At 45.6% G+C, this 22129-nt stretch overlaps 1 protein-coding gene across 3 annotated transcripts in view, besides 2 other annotated features; it reads right to left on the reverse strand.

Moving 5' to 3' along the window:
* FAM117A (family with sequence similarity 117 member A) overlaps positions 1 to 22129 on the reverse strand; it is a 78779-nt gene that overhangs the window by 35115 nt on the left and 21535 nt on the right. Inside the window, exon 1 of one of the 3 annotated variants that reach the window (NM_030802.4) lies at positions 18446 to 18685. The exons of 1 other annotated variant lie outside the window; for it this stretch is intronic. In NM_030802.4, coding sequence (NP_110429.1) covers positions 18446 to 18641 — 196 coding nt within the window. In that variant the 5' untranslated portion in view covers positions 18642 to 18685. Of the gene's footprint in view, positions 1 to 1734; positions 1783 to 18445; positions 18686 to 22129 lie in introns of those variants that run through there. One more of the 3 variants, NM_001411126.1, reaches the window with a different exon arrangement.
* Positions 18396 to 18605: a silencer, noted in NCBI's record as "silent region_8674". NCBI's record gives its function as "represses an Ori minimal core promoter by ATAC-STARR-seq in GM12878 lymphoblastoid cells {active_cell/tissue: GM12878}" and the evidence as "EXISTENCE:reporter gene assay evidence [ECO:0000049][PMID:35858748]".
* Positions 18686 to 19045: a silencer, noted in NCBI's record as "silent region_8675". NCBI's record gives its function as "represses an Ori minimal core promoter by ATAC-STARR-seq in GM12878 lymphoblastoid cells {active_cell/tissue: GM12878}" and the evidence as "EXISTENCE:reporter gene assay evidence [ECO:0000049][PMID:35858748]".

A 22129-nucleotide genomic window follows, 5' to 3' on the forward strand; every position in this document is an offset into this window, starting at 1 on the left:
CTTACAAAGAGAATAATGTACTTTTATAGCCTGGGGGCTACCATACCACCTCAAGTGATCCAACTGAGCCTGACTAGCAGTGGACATTCTGGCATTATGTATCTCCTAAAGTGACATTTTATGAAGTACATAGCTTTATCCATGAGATGTTCTTGTCAGAAATGTTTAACCTGAATCTAATCAGGCCCCAGATCTAACTTCCCATTTACAGGAAATACAGGGGATAGAGGAGCAAGTTAGATACCACCATGAGGAAACAGAAAAATCCAGTGTGGGACAACCAGAGACAATTGACATGTTTTCAAAATGTTAGTCTCAAAAAACAAATACAGCAAAACAAAGAAACAGGAATGGGAAGTAGTTCCAGATTGAGAGACTTTTAAAACAGACATAACCAAAAGGGGACTTTGGCTGGGTTCTGATCAAAAACAAAAGAGCCATCAAAGGGGAAATTTGAAAATGGACTAAATGACATCTCTAGTCCATTTTTGCCTTTGGCAAAGCCACAATTACTTTTGTACCAACCTCATAGATGATGTCATTTCATTAGGTATAATGATGGTATTATGATTATGGAGAAGGATGTTTTTATTCTCAGGAGATGCCACTGTTATGAAGTGACAAATGTCATGATATTTGCAACTTACTGTCAAATTGTGCACCCAAAAAAGTGCATATGGATGTATATATGTGCATATGTGGGTATGTCTAGACACACATATACATAAACAGAAGGAGAAAAGAGAGATAAGACCATTGTGGCAAAAGTTATCAATGAGTCTAGGTGAAAGATAAATAGGTAGACATTGTGCTTCTAACTTTTCTGTAGGTTTGAAATTTTCCAAAATAAAGTTGTAAGAAAAAAAAAATACTGGCTTCATTTAGGAAGACAAATTCAAATCACTCCTCAGAAAGGACCTAAACCCTTTAGCATTTCAACATTGGCAGGTTATAGCCAAATTCAACTGGGTCACTAGACTTCTAATTTGGGGGACTGAAGGTAGGCAAGGAATAAAAGCATGGATAAGGCTGAGGCAAGGAACTGAAACTCACAAGATGTAAGTTAATGCAAGGTAGAATCAAGATACTAAGTGAAAGAGACACTAAACTAAATTAAGAAGTGTCATGTCATCCCAGGAGCAAGACCAAGACTATAGGCAGAATTAAGAGCTTCCTATAAGTCCAGAAACATGGCTGGAGTGGGATATAACCTCAGATATACACAGCCAAGTGGCCCCTCGGCATCCATTTGTCATGATTGCTCTTCAAAAGGAATGCAGAAACCAGAGAGATCCCAGAGACAGAGGTAAAAACAGCTAAACGGAGGGTAGCTTGATCCCAAGGGGGAAGGAAAATGAATTAGAATTTATCGGTAGTCTTCCTTGCAGGTGCAAACATGAAGGACAGTAAAAAGGCTTTAGTTAGAATAAGAGGGAGTCTAGCTAGATAGATAAAAGGTTGAATGAGGGTGGCTAGAATCCGCCTCTGAACAGCCCCAGGAAGAGATCATTACACGTCCCCAGCTGTCTCAGTTATTTACCCTTGAAGACAGGAAACTGTACGCAGATGAGTTTGGGCCTCCTCTAGTTCTAGAATTCCCCAACTATTAAAGGGTAAATAAGAGATGGCTACTGATCAATCAGCTAAATTGAAAGCTCAGAACCCATGCTATTACTTGGGGCAAGATAAGTAGAAAAAAAAAAAGGCACAAATTCAAAGGAAGATTTGCCTTACCTAGGCTGATCAAACAGCTGTGTTGTGGGCTCCCAGATGATCTCTCCCACCTCCTCTACCACACAGGAGAATATAAATAGCACTCAGTTTACCTGTGGCTAGCCACAAGCAGAAGTCTGGTCACATGACTGGGCAAGCTGGGAGTAACCATCAAGTAGACATGAACACTCAGAGGGCAGGTTTGCTCTCTCGCTACAGCTCACTAGGTTGGACTCTGTCAGGACCCTCTGCTCCTAACCCTGACTGATTCATTTTGCTCTGGGCTATGGGGAGGAAGTTGGGGGGCACTTATAAGGAACTATTCAAGTTCCTCAGGGCTAGAAAGGTCACAGTAATAGAATTTGCTCTGCCTTCAGGATCAAAGATCCTAGTAGAGTTGTTCTTCTCTACCCCCCGCATCCTTGAAAATCTGTGTGAACCATCTCAACCCACTTGCAGAAAGTCTTCTCTGATCATCTCCAACTCCTTAGTCAAGCTCTATCTACTTCATGCCCCCAGCTTCAAAAAGGGGAGATACCTTAGAGACCACAACATCCCATCTAGTGGTTCCCTGCCCGGGCCCTGATATTTTGGAACAAACCTCAAATCAGTGGCAAATTCCCATGCTGAGCTCTAGCTGTGAAAGAACCCCAAAGTGCACTGGGCAACATTCCAGGGCAGACCTTGTTTTGAAGCCCTGGTCTTGCTGGTTGTTCAGATTTCCTAAGGGAAGCTCAAAGGTTATGTAGTGCCTCCAGGGTAAACCTAGTCTGAAAAGCAAGATTAGATGGCCCTTCCAGAAAGAGTGTTGAAGATATCACATTGGAAAGATTCCTCCTACCCTCAATATATGCTGACAGCTTCATATCAGAAGGATACTTATGAGGTCGCCTCTCCTGTGCTTCCAGATGCAGAGGAGTGGGTGGCAACACCACTGGAAGGTAAGTTATAGCCTCTTCCCCTGTATATGATGGGCTTTAGATCTGTTCTGAAATCAGGGATGCTTAACAGTAATGTCACCTTCTTTTATACTTAAGTAAAAAGGCTTAACCTCATGAAGCAAAAAATTGATCCAGGGAAACATTGGTACATTAATTACCAATAAGTCCTAACCAAACCTCCAAGAACTAGAAGGTCCAGGCTCAGTTATGATGGTCCTCTCTGAGCAGACAGCATTGCCATTTGCACAGCAGCTCCAACACACACCTCTAAGCTTCAGACAACCCAACAGGAATTTGAGGGCAGCCTCTTCGCATCCTCCTGCATCTTGCCCTGATTCTGGTTGGCCACTACCGGAAACTTACGTTAGAGGAGGAAAGAGCCTGAGGAATCAAGAGAATGGTGGGGGCAGTGTGTATAACTTCATCACTGCCTAAGGACAAAAAATCTAAGTATATAAGCTGGGGTAACAATATAGTAAGTGCTCATGGATCTATTTCATACAACTAGCTGGGCCCCTGAAAAAAAATATTTTGATGACAACTTAACCATGGTCAGGATTAATTAAGTCTAAGGTACCTACAGGTAGGCATTTCAGATAAAGGATGCACTCTAAAACTAAAGATTTTCAGGAAAATGTTTTCTCTATGTTAAGAATTTGAGTGGGACACATTCATTCACTTACCCCCAACTCTGACAGCTGGGGGAAAACATCAGTAAGCAAAAATGACAAGAATAATTCAAGGGCCTTCAAGGAGTACAAACAGGTGCATAACATGTGGTTTGGTGTGAGAGGAAAGGGGCCGGCACACAAGCGGCAGTGTCTGAACCTCTAGCTCTGTCTGCTTAGCAATGATTACCAGATCCACCCCTCCTTGGGCCCTGTGGTTAATGAAAGGTTTTCACTGACTAAAAATGAGCCATCTCTTTGTGCATGAAGTTGTAACTCCTGACCTACTTGATACAATGTGCTGCACTGAACCACGCAACCTGCTCACTCACAAGGCGGTGGGTACAAACAATCGACTGGTACGTAGCAGAAGAAAGCTCTCTGGCCTAGGCGTATACCTGGCATCACTTTGTAAACCAAACCCACTCCTTTTTCCCTCAGATCTCGACTATATATATATGAGGTAATAGTCCCTCATGGCTCTGGTGCAGCAGGGCCTTCCATTTTCATGTATTTTAAGAAATGAAGGCCAGGCGCAGTGGCTCACACCTGTAATCCCAGCACTTTGGGAGGCAAGGTGGGCGGATCACAAGGTCAGGAGATCAAGACCATCCTGGCCAACATGGTGAAACCCCATCTCTACTAAAATACACAAAAAATTAGCCGGGCATGGTGGCACGCGCCTGTAGTCCCAGCTACTCGAGAGGCTGAGGCAGGAGAATCGCCTGAATCTGGGAGGCAGAAGTTGCAGTGAGCCGAGATCGCGCCACTGTACTCTAGCCTGGTGACAGAGCAAGACTCCGTCTCAAAAAAAAAAAAAAAAAAAAAAAATGGAGATTGTTGAGGGCAGAACACAGTGAGAGTGTTTCTTAGTCTAAGGAAGCACTTTCTCTAGAAAGTTCCTGGCCATCCTGAATATGCTCAGTGTGCTTCAGCATATATATAGCTGCAACCCTGCTGACTCCACTGCTGGGTCAATGTGAGGCGTGGACTGGGCTGGGACACACGGCAGTGGGCACCCAATCAGCTCTCAGAATCTGATGCCAACCTGGTCCAGCTAGAGTAGTAAGGACCAGCTATGGTCTCCTAAGAGGTGGCCTACTATAACGGTCAATACCTGGGCTCACATCCTGCTTCCACCCCAATGTGCTATGTGAACTCAGACTGATCACTTAACTTCTCTGGGTGTCAGTTGTTCCATCTGTTAAATGGGGAGAGTAAGATATGTTATCAGGATGTAGAAGAAAATTTCCATTCCAGAGAACTCCTAGTGCAGTCAAATTAGTCTCACATATATCCATGTGTTAAGTATCTTCTTTGGAAATAACTTCAAATTTATAGATGCAAGAATAAGAACAGTACATAGAACACTCATATAATCTTTACACAGATTCGCCTATTAACAGCTGCCCCATTTGCTTTACTGTTTGCTTTCTTCACATGCACTTTTTCTTACACATGCTCAAACACGCCCACATGTCCACACGCAAGACAGATACTCACATGCAGACACACACACACACACTTTCCTTCATTGAGTTTCCTTGTGTGGTGTTCTATTTGAAAAGAACAGGGAACTACTGGAGGAGGGGAGGATCAAGATGAAGAGAAAGCGAAGGAGGCATGCTATTTGGTGATGGTTCCACAGCTCTGTTCCTTTTTCTTTGCCAACAATGCAAACAGCAAGCACTCAGGTGTTCCTGCTTTAGAGATGAGCTATTACTGGCCGGGCATGGTGGCTCACGCCTGTAATCCCAGCACTTTGGGAGGCCAAGGCAGGCAGATCACCTGAGGTCAGGAGTTCGAGACCAGCCTGGCCAACATGGTGAAACCCCCCATCTCTACTAAAAATACAAAAATTAGCCCGGCATGGTGGCAGGCACCTGTAATTCAGCTACTTGGGAGGCTGAGACAGGAGCATCGCTTGAACCCAGGAGGCAGAGGTTTCAGTGAGCCAAGATTGTGCCACTGCACTCCAGCCTGGGCAACAAGAGCAAAACTCCATCTCAAAAAAAGATGAGCTATTACACGAACAGGTACCAGAAAAAGTGCTTGGTATATAAGATTATTAGTTACTACTTTTTTAAAAACAACAAACCCCACAAAAAACAACAAAGCATTTATATGAACCATGGAAACAGCTTTATCATACAGAAGCATTTTTGTAATATTTGTTGTAATGGGATTTTACCTTGTGAAGTTGGGAAATAAGTAGGAAAGAAAGGTTTCGGCTGGGTACAATGGCGCACGCCTATAATCCCAGCACTTTGGGGGGCCGAGGCAGGCGGATCACCTGAGGTCAGGAGTTTAAAACCAGCCTGGCCAACATGGCAAAACCCTGTCTCTACTAAAAGCACAAAAATTAGCCTGGTGTGGTGGTGTGTGCCTGTAATCCCAGCTACTTGGGAGGCTGAGGCAGAAGAATCGCTTGAACCCAGGAGGCGGAAGTTGCAGTGAGGTGAGACCACGCCATTGCACTCAGTCTGGGCAACAAGAGCAAAATCTGTCTCCAAAAAAAAAAAAAAAAAAAAGCCGGGCGCGCTGGCTCACACCTGTAATCCCAACACTTTGGGAGGCCCAGGCAGGTGGATCACGAGGTCAAGAGATCGAGACCATCCTGGTCAACATGGTGAAACCCCATTTCTACTAAGAAATACAAAAATTAGCTGGGCATGGTGGCATGCGCCTGTGGTCCCAGCTACTCGGGAGGCTGAGGCAGGAGAATCGCTTGAACCAGGGAGGCAGAGGTTGCAGTGAGACGAGATTGCACCACTATACTCCAGCCTGGCAACAGAGTGAGACTCGGTCTCAAAAATAAATAAATAAATAAATAAACAAACAAGAAAGAAAGGTTTCACACAGCATATGGTTATTAGAATATTAAAGACTTCTGGGCCACGCACAGTGGCTCACGTCTGTAATCCCAGCACTTGGGGAGGCTGAGGTGGGCAGATCACAAGGTCAGGAGTTTGAGACCAGCCTGGCCAATAATGGTGAAACCCTGTCTCTACTAAAAATACAAAAAAATTAGCCGGCATGGTGGCGGGTGTCTGTAATCCCAGCTACTCAGGAGGCTGAGGCAGGAGAATTGCTTGAACCCGGGAGATGGAGGTTGCAGTGAGCCAAGATTGCACCACTGCACTCCAGTCTGGGCAACAGAGTGAGACTCCATCTCAAAAAAAAAAAAAAAAAAAAAAGACTTCTAGGCCAGATGCAATGGCTCACGCCTGCAATCCCAGCACTTTGGGAGGCTGAGGCAGGAGGATCACTTGAGCCCAGGAGTTTGAGACCAGCCTGAGCAACATAGTGAGATCCCATCTCTATTAAAAAAAAAAATTCTATACAGAGTATGCTTTGGAGGTAAGAGTGGCTTGTAATCTACTTGGGAGGGTTAGATAACCTCCAAGAAGTCAATTATCCGTGATACATAGTCCCTAGATGGAGCTTTCTCCCAGAGTTTAAGGCCTTGCTATTTCCCTTACTGGGCACATGCCTGTCTCGGAAGAGCACTATCATACATTACAATGACTCCACTTTCAGTTAACCTAAAGCTAGGAGAGGGAGACATGCTCAGACAGATCCTGCGCCCCCCAGGCTTCTTTCCCACTAGAAGTAGGGGGATGGTTACACCAGGGGTCCCTTACAGAGAGGACTAAGCTATTATGGCACAATGCCACTTGCATCTACCCCCACCCCTGCCATAGGAACGCATCACCCACATGTATTCCCAGGTGCTTTTCTGGGTTTCACATCATCACACATAAGAATCCTTTTCCTGTAAGATCCATCTTCGCATGTCTCCCTAACATGGCCTTGCCCCAAGCTCAGTAACCATGACCACCCCACAGAGGCAGAAAAATCTGGTCTGCCTCCTATGTCCTATCTGTCCCTGGTTAGCCACTCATTCTACATGGAAATGGCATATCTCAAACCAGCTGGAAACACTCAAAAGCCGCCACCATATCACACACATAATAATGTATTAATAGTAACCATCATCTTCCAACTACTCACACCAAGTGAGTATTTATGGTGTGGATAGTCACCTTGGGGTGCTAAAGGAAGAAACGGACTTCTTTGCAGCCCAGTTTCCAATTCTTTTTTTTTTTTTTTGAGACAGAGTCTCACTATGTCACCCAGGCTGGAGGGCAGTGGTGCAGTCTTAGCTCACTGCAACCTTCGCCTCTGGACTCAAGTGATTCCCCTACCTTAGCCTTCCGAGTAGCTGGGACTAAAGGAAGGTGTCACCACACCCTGCTAATTTTTGTAGTTTTAGTAGAGATGGGGTTTCACCATGTTGGCCAGGCTAGTCTCAAACTCCTGACCTCAAGTGATCTGCCCGCCTCGGCCTCCCAAAGTGCTGGGATTACAGGTGTGAGCCACCACACCCGGCCCCAATTCTCTTTTGCTTAGCTTAACAAATGAATCTTTGCTCCTGGAATACAGGTATATAAACATAGAAGAAACAAATGCTGGAGGTGTGCTGGGCAGGTGGCAGTGGATGCCAGCCTGAGACAAAATTCACAACGGACTTTTTCTGCATATGTGGGAAATGCCCTTTGCCTAATTAAGCAAAAGGGGTTTATTAGTCATTTGGTGTTGGACAAGAACTTCCTTTCTGGGCCTCAGTTTCCTTATCTGCAAAAACAATGAAATGCCACCTGCACCTGCAGGACTGTTGTGAAGATGCACGAAAACATTTGAGAGTTCCCATCAGAAGCACCACAGAGCTAAACAAATGGAACATATTGTCAAAACTAATGAAGGCCAGGCACGGTGGCTCACGCCTGTAATCCCAGCACTTTGGGAGGCTGGGGCGGTTGGACCACCTGAGGTCAGGAGTTCGAGACCAGCCTGGCCAACATGGTGAAACCCCGTTTCTATCACAAATAAAAAAATTAGCTACTTGGGAGGCTGAGGCAGGAGAATCACTTGAACCTGGGAGGTGGAGGTTGCAGTCAGCAGAGATTGTGCCACTGCACTCCAGCCTGGGTAACAGAGTGAGACTCTGTCTCAAAAACAAACAAACAAACAAACAAAAAACCTAATGCTATCTATATTCTCCATTTCCCTGAAAAATACAGGTGAATTTTTGGGCCTCTTAGAGTTGAGATTCAGAGACTCTTTCTTTCTACAGAAGCAACTGTTTTTGTCTTCCTCTGTGAACACGGAACTACTCCAGATTCCAATAAGAAAGAGTCCAGATGCTGCTCTCAGCATTAAGATGTGCACACCCCCCATGGATGTGGTTCACATAGCCCTTCTCTCCCCAGTTGCTAAATCCAGACTATGTCATATTGTGAAAGCCCTCTGGCTGCATCCCCTCTATCATGCCAAATGCTATCCACTCCCACCCCAACCCCACCCCTGGCTTATGTCATATCTGATGGGCAGGAGTTAAGAAGACAATCCCCAAACAGGGGCTGTGTGGCAAGTTTTCCACCAGCCTGCAGCTGTGGGGCAGGGAGTGCACGTGTTATCAGGAGTGGTTTTCCCAAAGCCACGTGGGCGACCAGACATGCACAGAGCACAGCAAACTCTTTTTTTTTTTTTCGAGATGGAGTCTCGCTCTGTCACCCAGGCTGGAGTGTAGTGGCGCCATCTCGGCGCACTGCAAGCTCTGTCTCCCGGGTTCACACCATTCTCCTGCCTCAGCCTCCCAAGTAGCTGGGACTACAGGAGCCCACCACCACGCCCGGCTAATTTTTTGTATTTTTAGTAGAGACAGGGTTTCACTGTGTTAGCCATGATGGTCTCGATCTCCTGACGTCATGATCCACCCGCCTCAGCCTCCCAAAGTGCTAGGATTACAGGCGTGAGCCACCGTGCCCGGCCAAGCACAGCAAACTCTTAAAGGGAAGGGAGTGTGGGGTAGAGAGGAGAAGAAGGGGAGGGAAGAGGGGATAAGAGAAGCTGCCTATGCTCCCAATCACATTTTCACTCTGTTCAAACTTACACCCAGCTGGGCAGGTTAAAACAGCCGTTTTCGGCCAGGTGCAGTGGCTCACACCTGTAATCCCAGCCCTTTGGGAGGCCAAGGCGGGTGGATTACCTGAGGTCGGGAGTTCGAGACCAGCCTGACCAACATGCAGAAACCCCATCTCTACTAAAAATACAAAAATAGCTGGGCATGGTGGTACATGCCTGTAATCCCAGCTACTCGAGAGGCTGAGGCAGGAGAATCGCTTGAACCCGGGAGGTGGAGGTTGTGGTGAGCCGAGATCGCACCATTGCACTCCAGCCTGGGCAACAAAAGTGAAACTCCGTCTCAAAAAAAAAAAAAAAAAAAAAAGCCATTTTCACTAAGCCACCAGACACATGGTTGGCAGCCTTCAAGGCAAGGAACACAGACTCTGTGGACAACAGTGTAAGTGTCCAGGGCCTGCGAAGTGGTAACAAGCATCTCTTTCTTGCACTTCCCTATCTGGTGGTTGGTGGGAGAAGAAATAGCAGTGCCTGCTATCACAGGATGGTGGCTGGCTTGGGAGAGGGGCGCTTTCAGCCTGATCACACCTCTGAAGCCATCCTAGGGCCAACAGATAATTCTCCTCCTTGGCCTAGAAAAGCCACTGATCCAGATTTTGTTTTCCTCCATCTTCTTGCTACACAGAACACTACTAGGAAGTTGGCAAAAATCTACCTGGAGTGAAAAGACAGTTAGCATTCATCTTGGTCTCCTTGGCCTCTCACCATATCCACTTCAAAGCCTAAAGCCAGGCAGTCTGGCTTTTTAACAAAATCATAACAAAATCCTACACATTGGCTGTTTCCATGGATCGACCTGGTAACTGCCCAAGCTCACCCTCTAGCTATAAGTGTGTTGGGAAAAGAACCTACAGGCCTAGCAATGACATCTATGGAAATGCCACGTCTTTGCCACCAACTGGGCTTCAAGCCCAATGACCAGGATGAATAGGAGACCAGTGATTTAAAGAAAGAGAGAATACTAACACTTCGGGGGGTTTTGCCTTGTAAGTAGCTGAAGAGAGGTATTATAGAGGGGGAACAGTATGTGGGGACCAGAAGTGGGAAAGACCATTCTGAGTGAGCCTGGGGGAGGTGTGGCTTACTCTCCCCACTCTGCTGCCTTCCCAGCAACTCAATCCAACAAGTATTTATTGAGCATGACACTCCCCATCTGCCCTGGTCCTCCCTCTGCAAAAACACTCAAATCTGTTCAAGCTGCAGGGTGAGTTCCATTGCACTTGAACTTGAAACGTGAGGTGCCTACTCTTAAAAAGGCAGGCACACAATTTCCAGTATACGGCAGAAGGGACTCAAGAGGTTTGAGAAAAATAAGGAATATAGCTGACTAGACAAGGCGAAACAATGTCACTTTTGAAAGGGAAAGGAAAGGAGAGAGTAAAAACTTAATTTAACCTTAGGGAGAATAATATATTGACACTTTTTTTTTAAAGCCTATTCAAAACATCCCAGTAGTTTTCTCTAATTAACCTCACCAAACACTGAGTATTTCTTCATTCTTTGCCTACTCCAGCTTGAATTTATATTTTATTCACTTATGGATGTGTTAGCAATCTACTTTTAGAGTTGCACATTAATCCTTCCTTTGACCTTTGAGGAGGTAATACCTTGGTGCTCTCCTGCATGTCTTCATTTAGGATCAGATAATAAGAGACTCAAGTGGCAGAGCTCGGGGTGAACTAGGCTGCCCCCTAACAAACATGGCTTCCCTGGAAAAGTGATCCTTCATTTACAAGATAGAGAGTTCAGAGTCAGAAAGGAGGCACCCCGTGGATGGCTTGAGCCCAGGATGCTATAGTGAGCTATGATGGCATTACTGGATTCCAACCTGGGTGATGAAGCAAGACCCCATCTCTCAAAAAAAAAAAAAAAGAGACAAAGGCCAGGCGTGGTGGTTCACACCTGTAATCGCAGCACTTTGGGAGGCCAAGGCAGGGGGATCACTTGAGGTCAGGAGTTCGAGACCAGACTGGCCAACATGGTAAAACCCTATCTCTACTAAAAATACAGCAATTATCTGGGCGTGGTGGCACACTTGTGTAGTCCCAGCTATTTGCGAGGCTGAGGCAGGAGAATTGCTTGAACCCAGAGAGGTGGAGGTTTCAGTGAGCTGAGATCACGCCACTGCACTCCAGCTTGAGCTATAGAATGAGACTCTGCCTCAAAAAAAAAAAAAAAAAAGAGAGAGAGAAAGAGGAGGCACCCCAAACCTACAGCTTTGTTCTGTCAAATACCATCCATCCTCTAAGAAGCCACATTCAGACAGTCTCTGAGAGAAAACTCCTCAACCCTTGATCACAGGCCAGCTGCTTCAGAGCAACCAAAACCCTCCGAGTCTTCCCAGGCCTCCCCCAGCCTCCACCCCTTTTATTGGGGAGCTGGGAGCTCAAACTGCTAATGTGTAGGCAGAGCTGAGCTAAAGGCACTCCATCTGTCCTCCACCCCCCCAGCAACTCTCGGGGGCTCCTGAGCAAATCCACAAACCTGTATGCCTGAGCAGGGCAGGGTAAATGTCTGTACATGGCCTGGACTTCAGTTCCAGGTCCCCCAGGGCCTGGACTTGAAGTTTTTCTATTATGAAATACTTGGATAGCATTCTTTTAAGTTCATTAAAGCCACCCTTGATTAGCTGCAGTGCTCCCACACAGTAAGGGTCGATCAAGGCATATGTGGGCCTGAGGGGAAGCATTTAAATGACTGCAAGGCTTGGCATTCAGCTTTGTAGTGACCCTGAGGGGAAAGCACAGTGCCAGGCAGAGTTTTCCAAACCAGGAGGTTTGGTGGGGACCACAAGCTGAGCCCGAACACTAGCAGCCAGCTGTTACGAGAACCTCCCACCATCCAGCTGTTGCCAACAACAACGGCCCCTTCATGAGCTCCACACGACTGGAGAAAATGGGGGCACAGATAACTTAGAAATTTCAAATATCATCCACAACTCTTCCCTGAGATCAGGATTTGTTTTTGACCTAATAATGTGAGTAGATTTGGCTAATGTTTGGTTAATTCATACCCTGCAAACCAAATAATGGAGCCCTCTGTGAAGATTGAACCTAGACGAAGGGGGGAAACTGACCAGATTTCCCACCCATCCTTTCTTTGCTTCCACTCTTCCCTGTTCCCACTTCTGTGACAAAGAAGGGTAACATGCATCTCAAAGGATGGCAGAGCTTACTAACCCAAGAAGAGACTGTCCACTCTCACTAACTCACTCTCTAGTGAGCATCTACCTTTGCTCTGAACTGGGAGCGACACCCAAAGTTTTCCTTTCCACTGCTTTAAAAGGGCTCCAGGGCCAGGTGTGGTGGCTCACGCCTGTAATCCCAGCACTTTGGGTGGCCAAGGCAGGTGGATCACCTGAGGTCAGATGTTGGAGACCAGCCTGGCCAACATGGTGAAACCCCCGTCTCTAATAAAAATACAAAAAAATTAGCTGGGCATGGTGGTGCGTGCCTGTAATCCCAGCTACTTGGGAAGCTGAGGCAGGAGAAGCGCTTGAATCTGAAGGTGGAGGTTGCCATGAGCCGAGATCATGCCATTGCACTCCAGCCTGGGTGACAGAGTGAGAGTCCGTCTCCAAAAAATAAATAGGCCGGGTGCGGTGGCTCACGCCTGTAATCCCAGCACTTTGGGAGGCTGAGGCGGGTGGATCACAAGGTCAGGAGTTTGAGACCAGCCTGGCCAATATGGTGAAACCCCGTCTCTACTAAAAATACAAAAATTAGCCGGGTATGGTGGTGGGCACCTGTGGTCCCAGCTACTTGGGAGGCTGAGGCAGGAGAACTGCTTGAACCTGGGAGGCGGAGGTTGCAGTGAGCCGAGATCGTGCCATTGCGCTCCATCCTGGGTGACAAAGCGAGACTGTCTCAAAAAAAAAAAAAAATAAAATAAATAAATAAATAAATAAATAAATAAATAAATAAATAAAATAAAAGGGCTCCAAACTGTCTGTGGAGTAACGGTAAGCCCAGGCAGGTCTAGTCAGAACACTTGAGCTAGAGTCAAACGTGATAGTGTCAGTAAGAACTCCATAACCAGACCTGCCCCTCAGAAGATGCCACACCCAAAAGCCTGAATCCTTTAGCAGGAAGGCTCTATGTGAGTCATCTAAGAATCTGGAGGAAGATGCTCTAACAGTTCTTCTAAGATCAAGGAATAGTGTGGCCCTGATGCCCATCACACCATTCAAAATAAACTGAATTCAGCAGAAAATAAAGGCATAGTGTTCTCTTGGCTATTAAAGCCCACCAACCACTGTGGTAACACCCAAATTAGCACCATCACTATGAAAGTTTTGCATTACTGCTTGCAACTTTCTAAAGATCTATCTATGTCTAGAATGTGAGAGAACAAAGTCCTCTTGCCATCACAGCCCACTGTTGTTCTCACCCCTCTGACACTGACCTCAAATGGTTTAAGATCTCTTAGCTCTATGTTATATAAGTGAGACCTTCTCGTACTATATAATCCTTTGCTATCCAAAATACCGAAGAACACATGGACTCACACTCCTTTGGGTACCAAAGAGATAAAGCAGTTAAGCAGCTAGTCCCCAAATTCAAGGATGTCATCACTGGTGATAACATTTAAGAGCCAGATGCTTCAGCAGTGCATTTTGCTGACCATGTATGTGCCTGGTGCTGGCAAAGCTGTCAAAAGCAACAGTTAGCAGTGTTGGGCTAGGAAGTGTCTGGTGTTTTAATGCTTCCCAAACAGAAGCTGCCTCAATCACAGGTTTTAGAAGGGGAATTGTAGCTCTTAAAGGGTTTTAACTGCACCCCCAGGCCTCATTATAGCAAGATGATGCCTTGGCATAGAACGGTTGGAAATCTCTTCTAATCTCCAGGCTGTTTCTGGCACCAGTAGCCACACGGACCAGTTTGCTGAGGGCTTTCTCTTAGGGTCTCTAATATGCAACCTCCTTTTTATGGTTCCAGACCTATCTAAACACCTATCCCCCAAGAAATAAGTTTTCAAAGCATTGCAAAGAAAGGAGTTTAACAATTTAATAATATAAGCACTGCAGCCTCGTATTCACGAAACAGCCATCCTGGGGAACCTAATCGACATTTGATATAAATTACCCTTCTTATATCCCCATGGGGAAGCCAATATTTTAGGGCAACCATGACTACTGCCAGCTCTTCATAATCTGTTCACAAAAATAAAAGGTAATGAGAAAAATTCAAAACAGGAGATAAGCCTAAAGTAATTTCCATCTGATTTTGAAATGTGTTCACCGCAGTTTTGGGTTGTCAGGTTGGGGGAAATGGGTTAAGAGAGGAGAGGGGGCAAATTTGCCTAACAGTTAAGCTTTTATATAAATTCAAATTAGCTTATGTCTACTGAACACATCACCTGACAATGGTGGGGGTGGAGAGGCTGGATTCACACATGATGATGTTCTACAAAGATTGAGAACTGACTGGAAGCAGGTGACCTTCTTTTCTTTTGCCTTAAAATAGAGTGGGACTACAGGCTTGTTCGTTTTCTTTACCCCCTTAGAATTTTCTGAGGTTTATATTACACACATTTGAAACTGATCTTTATATAGGAAAAACAGGTACACTGTTTGAGACAAGAGTTGGCAAACTTTTCTGTAAAGTGACATATAGTAAATATTTTAGGCTTTGTGAGCCCTACAGTCTTTATCACAACTCTTCACTCCACCACCGACAGCACAAAAGCAGCCCTAGACAATATTTAAATGAAGCAGTGTGGCTGGTTCCAATAAAACTTTATTTACAAAAATAGGCCCAGGGCCAGATATGGCCTGTAGACCATAACTGCCAATCCCTGGTTAAAGAAGGTTCTGGTGGTCAGAGGAGGTTCCAAGGCAGTATTTAGCTTCCCTAGCACCCAGCTGGTCCCAGTGGGGCTGGTCCACTGGAGAAATAATTTGCAAACCTAGATGAAACATTATCTTCATTTTAGGGACATACAGACAGACACGCTAAACAAGATAGGTAAGACTGGAACCCAGAACAATTCACCTCCTAGTCCTATTTTGTCCTTCATCATGGTCCTGGAAGAGTATAAAAGTCAGCGGCCTCTAACTGACATTAAGACACAAAAGAGAATTTAATTTAAGGGAGAATTGCAGTGAGAAGTTTATCTTAGGTTTCTACTACCCAATAATGGCTCTTAGCTTTTTTAGAGTTATCTTTCATTTTTCTCTCCACTCTCTTCAGCCTTCCTCACTCCTAGCCCAGGTTCATAAAAATGAAGCCATTCCTCATTTTACGAAGACATACCTTATGATGAATGGTTGCAGAAGGCAAATCCTGCTCTTTACACCATAACCCTTTTCACGAGGTCTAATATATCTTGTCAAGAACACAGCAGGATGTGTGGTGGGGAGATAACTGCAGAGCCCTGAGCGTTACATCACTTTGAGATGGGCAAGAGAAACAGTGGCGACCCTTAATTGTTCCTGAAGCCCAGTCACAGCTCACATGCCTTTTTAAACAGCTGGGTTTCAGAGCTCTGTTTAGAAAGTTCATTTTAAAAGATGAGGGAATAAAAATGCAAGAGGAGGCCCTGAAATTCTGAAACCTGCAGTACTGGTTTCAGATCAATCTGGGTTTGCTCTTTGAAGCCTGAAAAGGCAATGGGCTCTGGCCAACAGTGCTCTCACCTTGGCGAGCAGAGGGAATAATAATATAAGCAGCAGCAAACACTTTTATAGCACTTCTCATGTGCCAGGCACGTTTTAAGCACTTTCTATCTATTAACTCATTTAATTCTTATGATATAGATATTATTATCCACAGATGAGGAAACTAAGACACAGAAAGAACTTCCTCAAAGCCACACAACTAGTAAATGGCAGAACCTGGATTTAAAACCCAGGCATTCCAGCTCCCAGTGCCAATCTCTTAAAGGTTTATGACTACAAGGGGTTTCCTTTTATCCCATATACTCTACTGTCCTAGAAAAAACCACCTCTGGTGCTTTCCAAGGCCAAGGAATGGAAATAATGTGAACACGTATGTGGGCTGAAGTTAACATATAAAAGCCCTGATGTGCCTCCAAAACAGAGGCCAGGTACATTCCCCTAATGCCTGGCCACTTTCTTCTCCTATTTTTTCCCCTCTCCTGCCATACTGAAAATCTACAGATAATCCCCCCAACTACCAACTAGGCGAATGCCTTATTAACACTTCTAAGATATTAATAGGTGGACAAATTATTGATCAGACCAATCTATAAGCAAGAGTCCACCCAACTTGCCTTAAATCACCTGACAAATTATGCAGAGCTCTAGCTTCCTACATTTCTACCAGTATCCCAGGGCCTCTGGCTCTATAAAAGGAGCAGGCCATGTAATGAACCCAGACATCCAAACCTACGTTCTTCCCCCTTCCACAGCATCCACCAGCAATTGTCCTTTTAATATTAGTTCTATAATAGACACAAAATAACTGATCTTAAAATGATTGCTAATCAGTTTCCAGCTACTATACAGGTAGGCTTTCTGTTGTTTTCCACTAAAAGTGACTAAGGTTCCGGTTCTTGTTCTACCAACTTCCCGGGGTTTCAAGGAAGCCCAAACAAAACCAACAGGTTTGTAGTCTTGTGGTTTGCTTTATAACTCATGATAGGCATGAGTTAGTCTGGGCATTGCCTTACTCTACACCACCGGATTCTAAACATACTTTTACTACTTGGTCACCATCTTGCTACCAGATTTGACCAAGTTTCTGCATCCCAAGATGTGATGCTAACATATACAGTGAAAAGTCCAGAAAGACTTGGGGGCTTTCTATCTCAGAGATCCTCTTAAGCCCATTCCTACCTAGCAAGGAGTAGCCCTGTAGTAGCTACTACTTCTGTAATAGCCCTGCAGAAGCAGGAAGGAGATGTGCAGTAACTAGGCTTGGTAATCATCAGAAGCTCAAGAGACTCTGGTTTAGAGAATGTCATTAACCGTTAAGACGGCAGGAATCATGATTTTTGTACATTTGGTAGAGGCTCCGGCTTTGGAAGTGTGCAATGATCTTTTCACATCTGGTGTGAATCAAATGCAAGCCTCACTTTCAACTTATTGCCAACCTCCTCATGCAAGTAGGTTCCTTTTCCCCTTCCTAAGTACTTGCATTTGTGGGATCCTCACAGATTTGAGTATCAAAGCAAGGTTAAGTTTGCTTCTCCCTAGTTTCCCCACAGCCACCACATCAAGCTGTTATTAAGAACCCATTTCAGTGCTGTTCAGAAAGTGGGGTACTTGCCACCATGCACTTGACTGTAGCCCTCACCCCACTGCCACGTTGGCTGCAATGCCCCGGACAAAACAGCCTTGGTGGGTAGAGGGGTGGAGGGAGTAGAAAGAAAGGTAGGGGGCAAAACTGCCCAGGTCTCCCCCCCGCTACACACACACACACACACACACACACACACACACACACACGCTCGTACACAAACGATGGTTGGAATGAGACAGCCATATTAAGCAGGTCAAGAATCTGGGAACGTACAACTTCTGGGACACAGGGAGAAGAATGCAGGGAGCTGGGCATTTGCACCACGGTAAAAGCCGTTAAACTTAGTCCAGCGGGCTGAGATGAAATCAGTTCCAGGAGGTGGCATAAAGGGAAGCGCACGTGAAGTGGTGGAGAATGGAACTCCAGCGCAGTTGAGAGGGATGCTGGGGCCAAACTCAAGCTGGAGAAGTAACACACGGCTGCACGGGGCTCTACTCCATGCCCCTCCCCCTCCCCGTGCAATAGTCCAGCGCCCACCGACTCCTGCTCCCAGCGCCAGCCATCCGCACGGGGCGCCCCCACCACGCGCCACTCCTCCTCACGCCTCGCTCCCACCCCCTGCATCTTCCACTCACCCCACACGACACCTCTGCCCACTTTTCGGTTACGCCCCCAAAGCCAGCCTCCATCTGCCAGGTCCCTCCCCTCACCTCCGGGACCCGACTCCCCGCACACTCCGTCCCAGCGGTGCTCCCCACGTTTCACGGCTCCTCGCTCTTGCTCCCTCCGCCCTCATAGACTCTGAACGCCCCCTTTCTCTTCCCTCGCCCCCATCCACTTTCCCCTCACACTTCTCCCCGTCCCCCTCCCGCGGTCACGCGCCCCCCCTCCCCCAATGGCTCCTTCCACGGCACCCGCTCCAGGCCCGGCTCACCTGCACGGCCACCCCCGTCCCGGCGCTGGTGCGGCTGCTGCAGCTGGAAGGGGATCGTGGCCCTGAGCGGCTGCAGCCCAGCCCGGGGGGAGCCGGCGGGGGCTGGGGGAGAGCAGCCCCGCCGGAGCCCCCCGGCCCCTCCGCGCCCCGGCCCCCAGGCACCTCCGCCTCTGCCGCCCGCTGCGGCCCCCGCCATGGCTCTCCCGGCTGCCTGCCTCAGCCCCACTGCGAGACTCACACAGCCCCCCAACCCCCGAGGCCGCTGCTTATCTGCTGTACGGGGCGGGGACCGGCCCCCTCATCCTAGAGCTGTCATTGGACTGCGGAAACCCAGACCTTCCACCCCAGCCAATCCACAGCTTAGCCTTCCCTTTCCTGAGGATGATTGGTCGATGAGCCTAGCGATCCAAGCCAAGACCCCACCCTCACACCGCCCCCTTCGGTTTTCCAACATCCCAGGGGCTGCTGATTGGCCTGTACAGAAGAGGGCTGGTTCTCCAGCGCCACCAATGAGAAGACGCAGAATAGGGGAGCGTCACACCCAGTCCCAGGTAGTATGCAAATATAATGTCACGTGACGTCAGGCTGAGCTGGAGAGTGGGCGCGGCGCTGGGTGTAGGTTGGAGTCAAACACTAGTGAAATAATTTTTGGGGGCGGGAGTAGGGAGCAGTGTCAAACTTTACACAGTTGAGTCCCTGAATCACAGAGAAAGCGATACCTTCAAAAAGTATTACATTTAATTTAACCTAAAAAACATTAGTTTTAAATCCTTATAGGATCTCAGTGCTACTTACAAGCTCCAAACTAAGATCCTACAAATTAATGCAAGGTTTGCATATCATTTGCATGTGATTTGCATTATATTTGTGTATTTAATGGCGACCTTGCCTCGTGTGACACTTACATCTGTCTTTCTCCACGTTTCCAAGTCCCTACTTGGTGTTGATCCAACCTTAAAAAAACAATTGCTAGCCTGTAAATTAAATTGGGACTCTGAAAAGAAGCAGGGAATTTCCCTTCAGAGTCGTCCACTCCAAGTCTAGCTCAGCAGAGTGAAAGGAACAAAGCAACTGAAAAACTTGCCCAAGTTTGCACCGCGACTCCGTTAACAAATCCTGGTCTTCCAAGATCAATGCTCTCTGACTTACAAGTCAGAATGAGACTGGAAGGTCCCCAAAGAGAATGCATGCAGTTGTGAAAAGCACATGATATAATAATATAAAGGGATTTGGGAAAGAAAATAACATTTAAGATACTATTAAAAAGTATTATGCTTCAAAAGAAAAAAAATATTACTCTTGGTATTTGTTAACCATTTTGTTCTACATATGGAAAAAGCAAAAGTCAATCAACCCTGGATTGTCTGTGATTGGGGACCATTCAAATAATTGAATAATTCCCTCCAGATTTATATTTAGCTGTGAATTCTATTTTTGATCTTGCTACAGATTTTTCTTTCTATTTCTGTTTTTGCCCAGTTTAATGTTAAAAAGAAGATATTCCCTGAAGCCATACTAACTAATCAGAGAAAAAGAGGTAATCTGGGAGCCTGCTGTGAGGCAAAGAGAAGTCATTCTGGGATTAAATATTGAAAGTAGATAATACCCAAAGTGGAAATTCAAGAGTGGGTTGAATATTAAAATTAGCCTACATACACTGAATGAATTGAGGCAATGGAACATACCGAAGAAAGGTTTTCTTTGCAAAGAGTGTACTCTTGCAGTTTTGAAGGATTTACTTCAAGATCTGACATTTGAACTGTTTTTTTAATTGATTGAAGAAATGCTGTACTACTTTTCCATGAAGAGGACAATCTAATCAAAGACAGAGAAGAATAAACAAAAATTGATGAACTGATTAAAAACTCAGTCTTTATAAGATTAATTAACTCAGTTGAAAAAAGATATCTTGCATTTATATTGTTCCTCAATTTCAAGTAGTTCAAAGTCTTCATGTACTTTTAAGAAATCCTCATGACAATCTGGAAAAGGAAAAACATGGATTCTTACCATGTTACAAGTAGTGAAACTGAAGTCCAAAGAAGTGAGTCCTTTTGATTCCTAGCTCAGATCTCTAACACATCATATTGAACCACCCTGCCTCACATCTTCATTAATAAAATCAGTAATGGTAGCAACGAATATTCATTGAATTCCTTTCTCCATGCTAGGTACATGTTAAGTACCATGCATACTTTATCTTATTTATTGCTCAAGACCACACTTGTGAAATGGGTATTATTTCCTCTTCATTGAGACTTCAGGGAGAAATACAGTAACATGCCCAAGATTACCCAGGTAGCCTGACTCCAGAGCTGAGCTCCTGATCTCTATGAGTGTAAAATTTTCTTAAGAACACAGGATTACTGTTCACATCTTACATAAAGGGTCTCCAAAGATGCAAATCTGATTAAGATGTTAAAATTAACATCTGTCTAGTGTTTTATAGCTTTCACATACATTATCTCATTTAATTATCACAATAGGCATGTAAGGCAGAAAATGTAGATATTATTGTCCTCATTCTTCAGGAGGTTAAGTCCTACAGAGGCTAGGTGACTTGCCCAAGATCATCTTAGTAAATGGCAGACCTAGGACTTACATCCTTGGTCTTTTGACTCCAGATTCAATGCTTTCCCAACCAACACTCAACTTCTAGATCATTGGTCCTGCCTGAGAGGCAAAAGGTAGACTAGTTGGTCTTTTGAAAGCTTTTCTTGTCTGACAACTTATACTGTGTTAGGACCCCTCAACATGTAAATTCTCAATCTTAGGAGATGATGAGTGGTTTTTATTGGCTGAGCCAGACAATGTGTGTTTAGAAGTAAAGCCCTAGGATGAGAATCTTGAAACACTTTGGGTAAGTGGCTTCCTCTCTCTGTGCCAGAATCATCCCTGCTCCATCAACCTCACAGACTTGTTCTAAAAATAAGGCGACACATTATCGTACAGATGCTTCCTTCCCTCAGAGAGAGGAGTAATGTGCATGGTTCCATGGATACTGTGTTTAAACTTTATTCCAAAGCCAAGGTACCAGAAATTAAGAACCTGGACGGTAGAAAAAGAGGCAGTGGAGGTGGTATAGCTAAAGAAATGGATCTTCTGAGTCCAGAAAGTCATGGTCTTTCCTGATAAGTTGCTGGCAAGACACTAAAGTTGATCCTAGCTGGAGGAGTGAGAAGGGAGGCATGCATAGGACAATTTGGTCCTCTCCTTACTAGGTATCATGTCCAACCAGCTGTCTCTTATTCTCTTCTCTATCACTGATAGCTTCTCCTGGCATGGGCATGATGGGAGGATAAGGACTACATCTGAAGATTAATCCGTCTGCTTCCTCCAATGAAGGAAGCCTTGGCTTTGGGGAGGCTGTGCACTGCTAAGGGGAGATGACTTGCATTCATTACAAAGCATCTAACTTGCAACAAAACCTTTGCCACTGCCCTTACTGTCATGCTTATCAACATCATCGCCATTAATTAATTAGCTCATCACAAATTTATTGAAATGAACACTATGTGCCAGACACTGAGCTAGGCACTGAGCTCTGAATGACAATAATGTTCAGAGACATTGTCCCTATGCTGAAGTTCACAAGCCAGCAGGCCTTGAAGCCTGTATGCAGAAGTGGCCCTGGGCTAGATGCTATTTCATTTGGGATACATGACCTGGTTCCTGCTTTCAGAG

This window comes from Homo sapiens, chromosome 17 (genome assembly GCF_000001405.40).
Source record: "Homo sapiens chromosome 17, GRCh38.p14 Primary Assembly".
Taxonomy (NCBI): domain Eukaryota; kingdom Metazoa; phylum Chordata; class Mammalia; order Primates; family Hominidae; genus Homo; species Homo sapiens.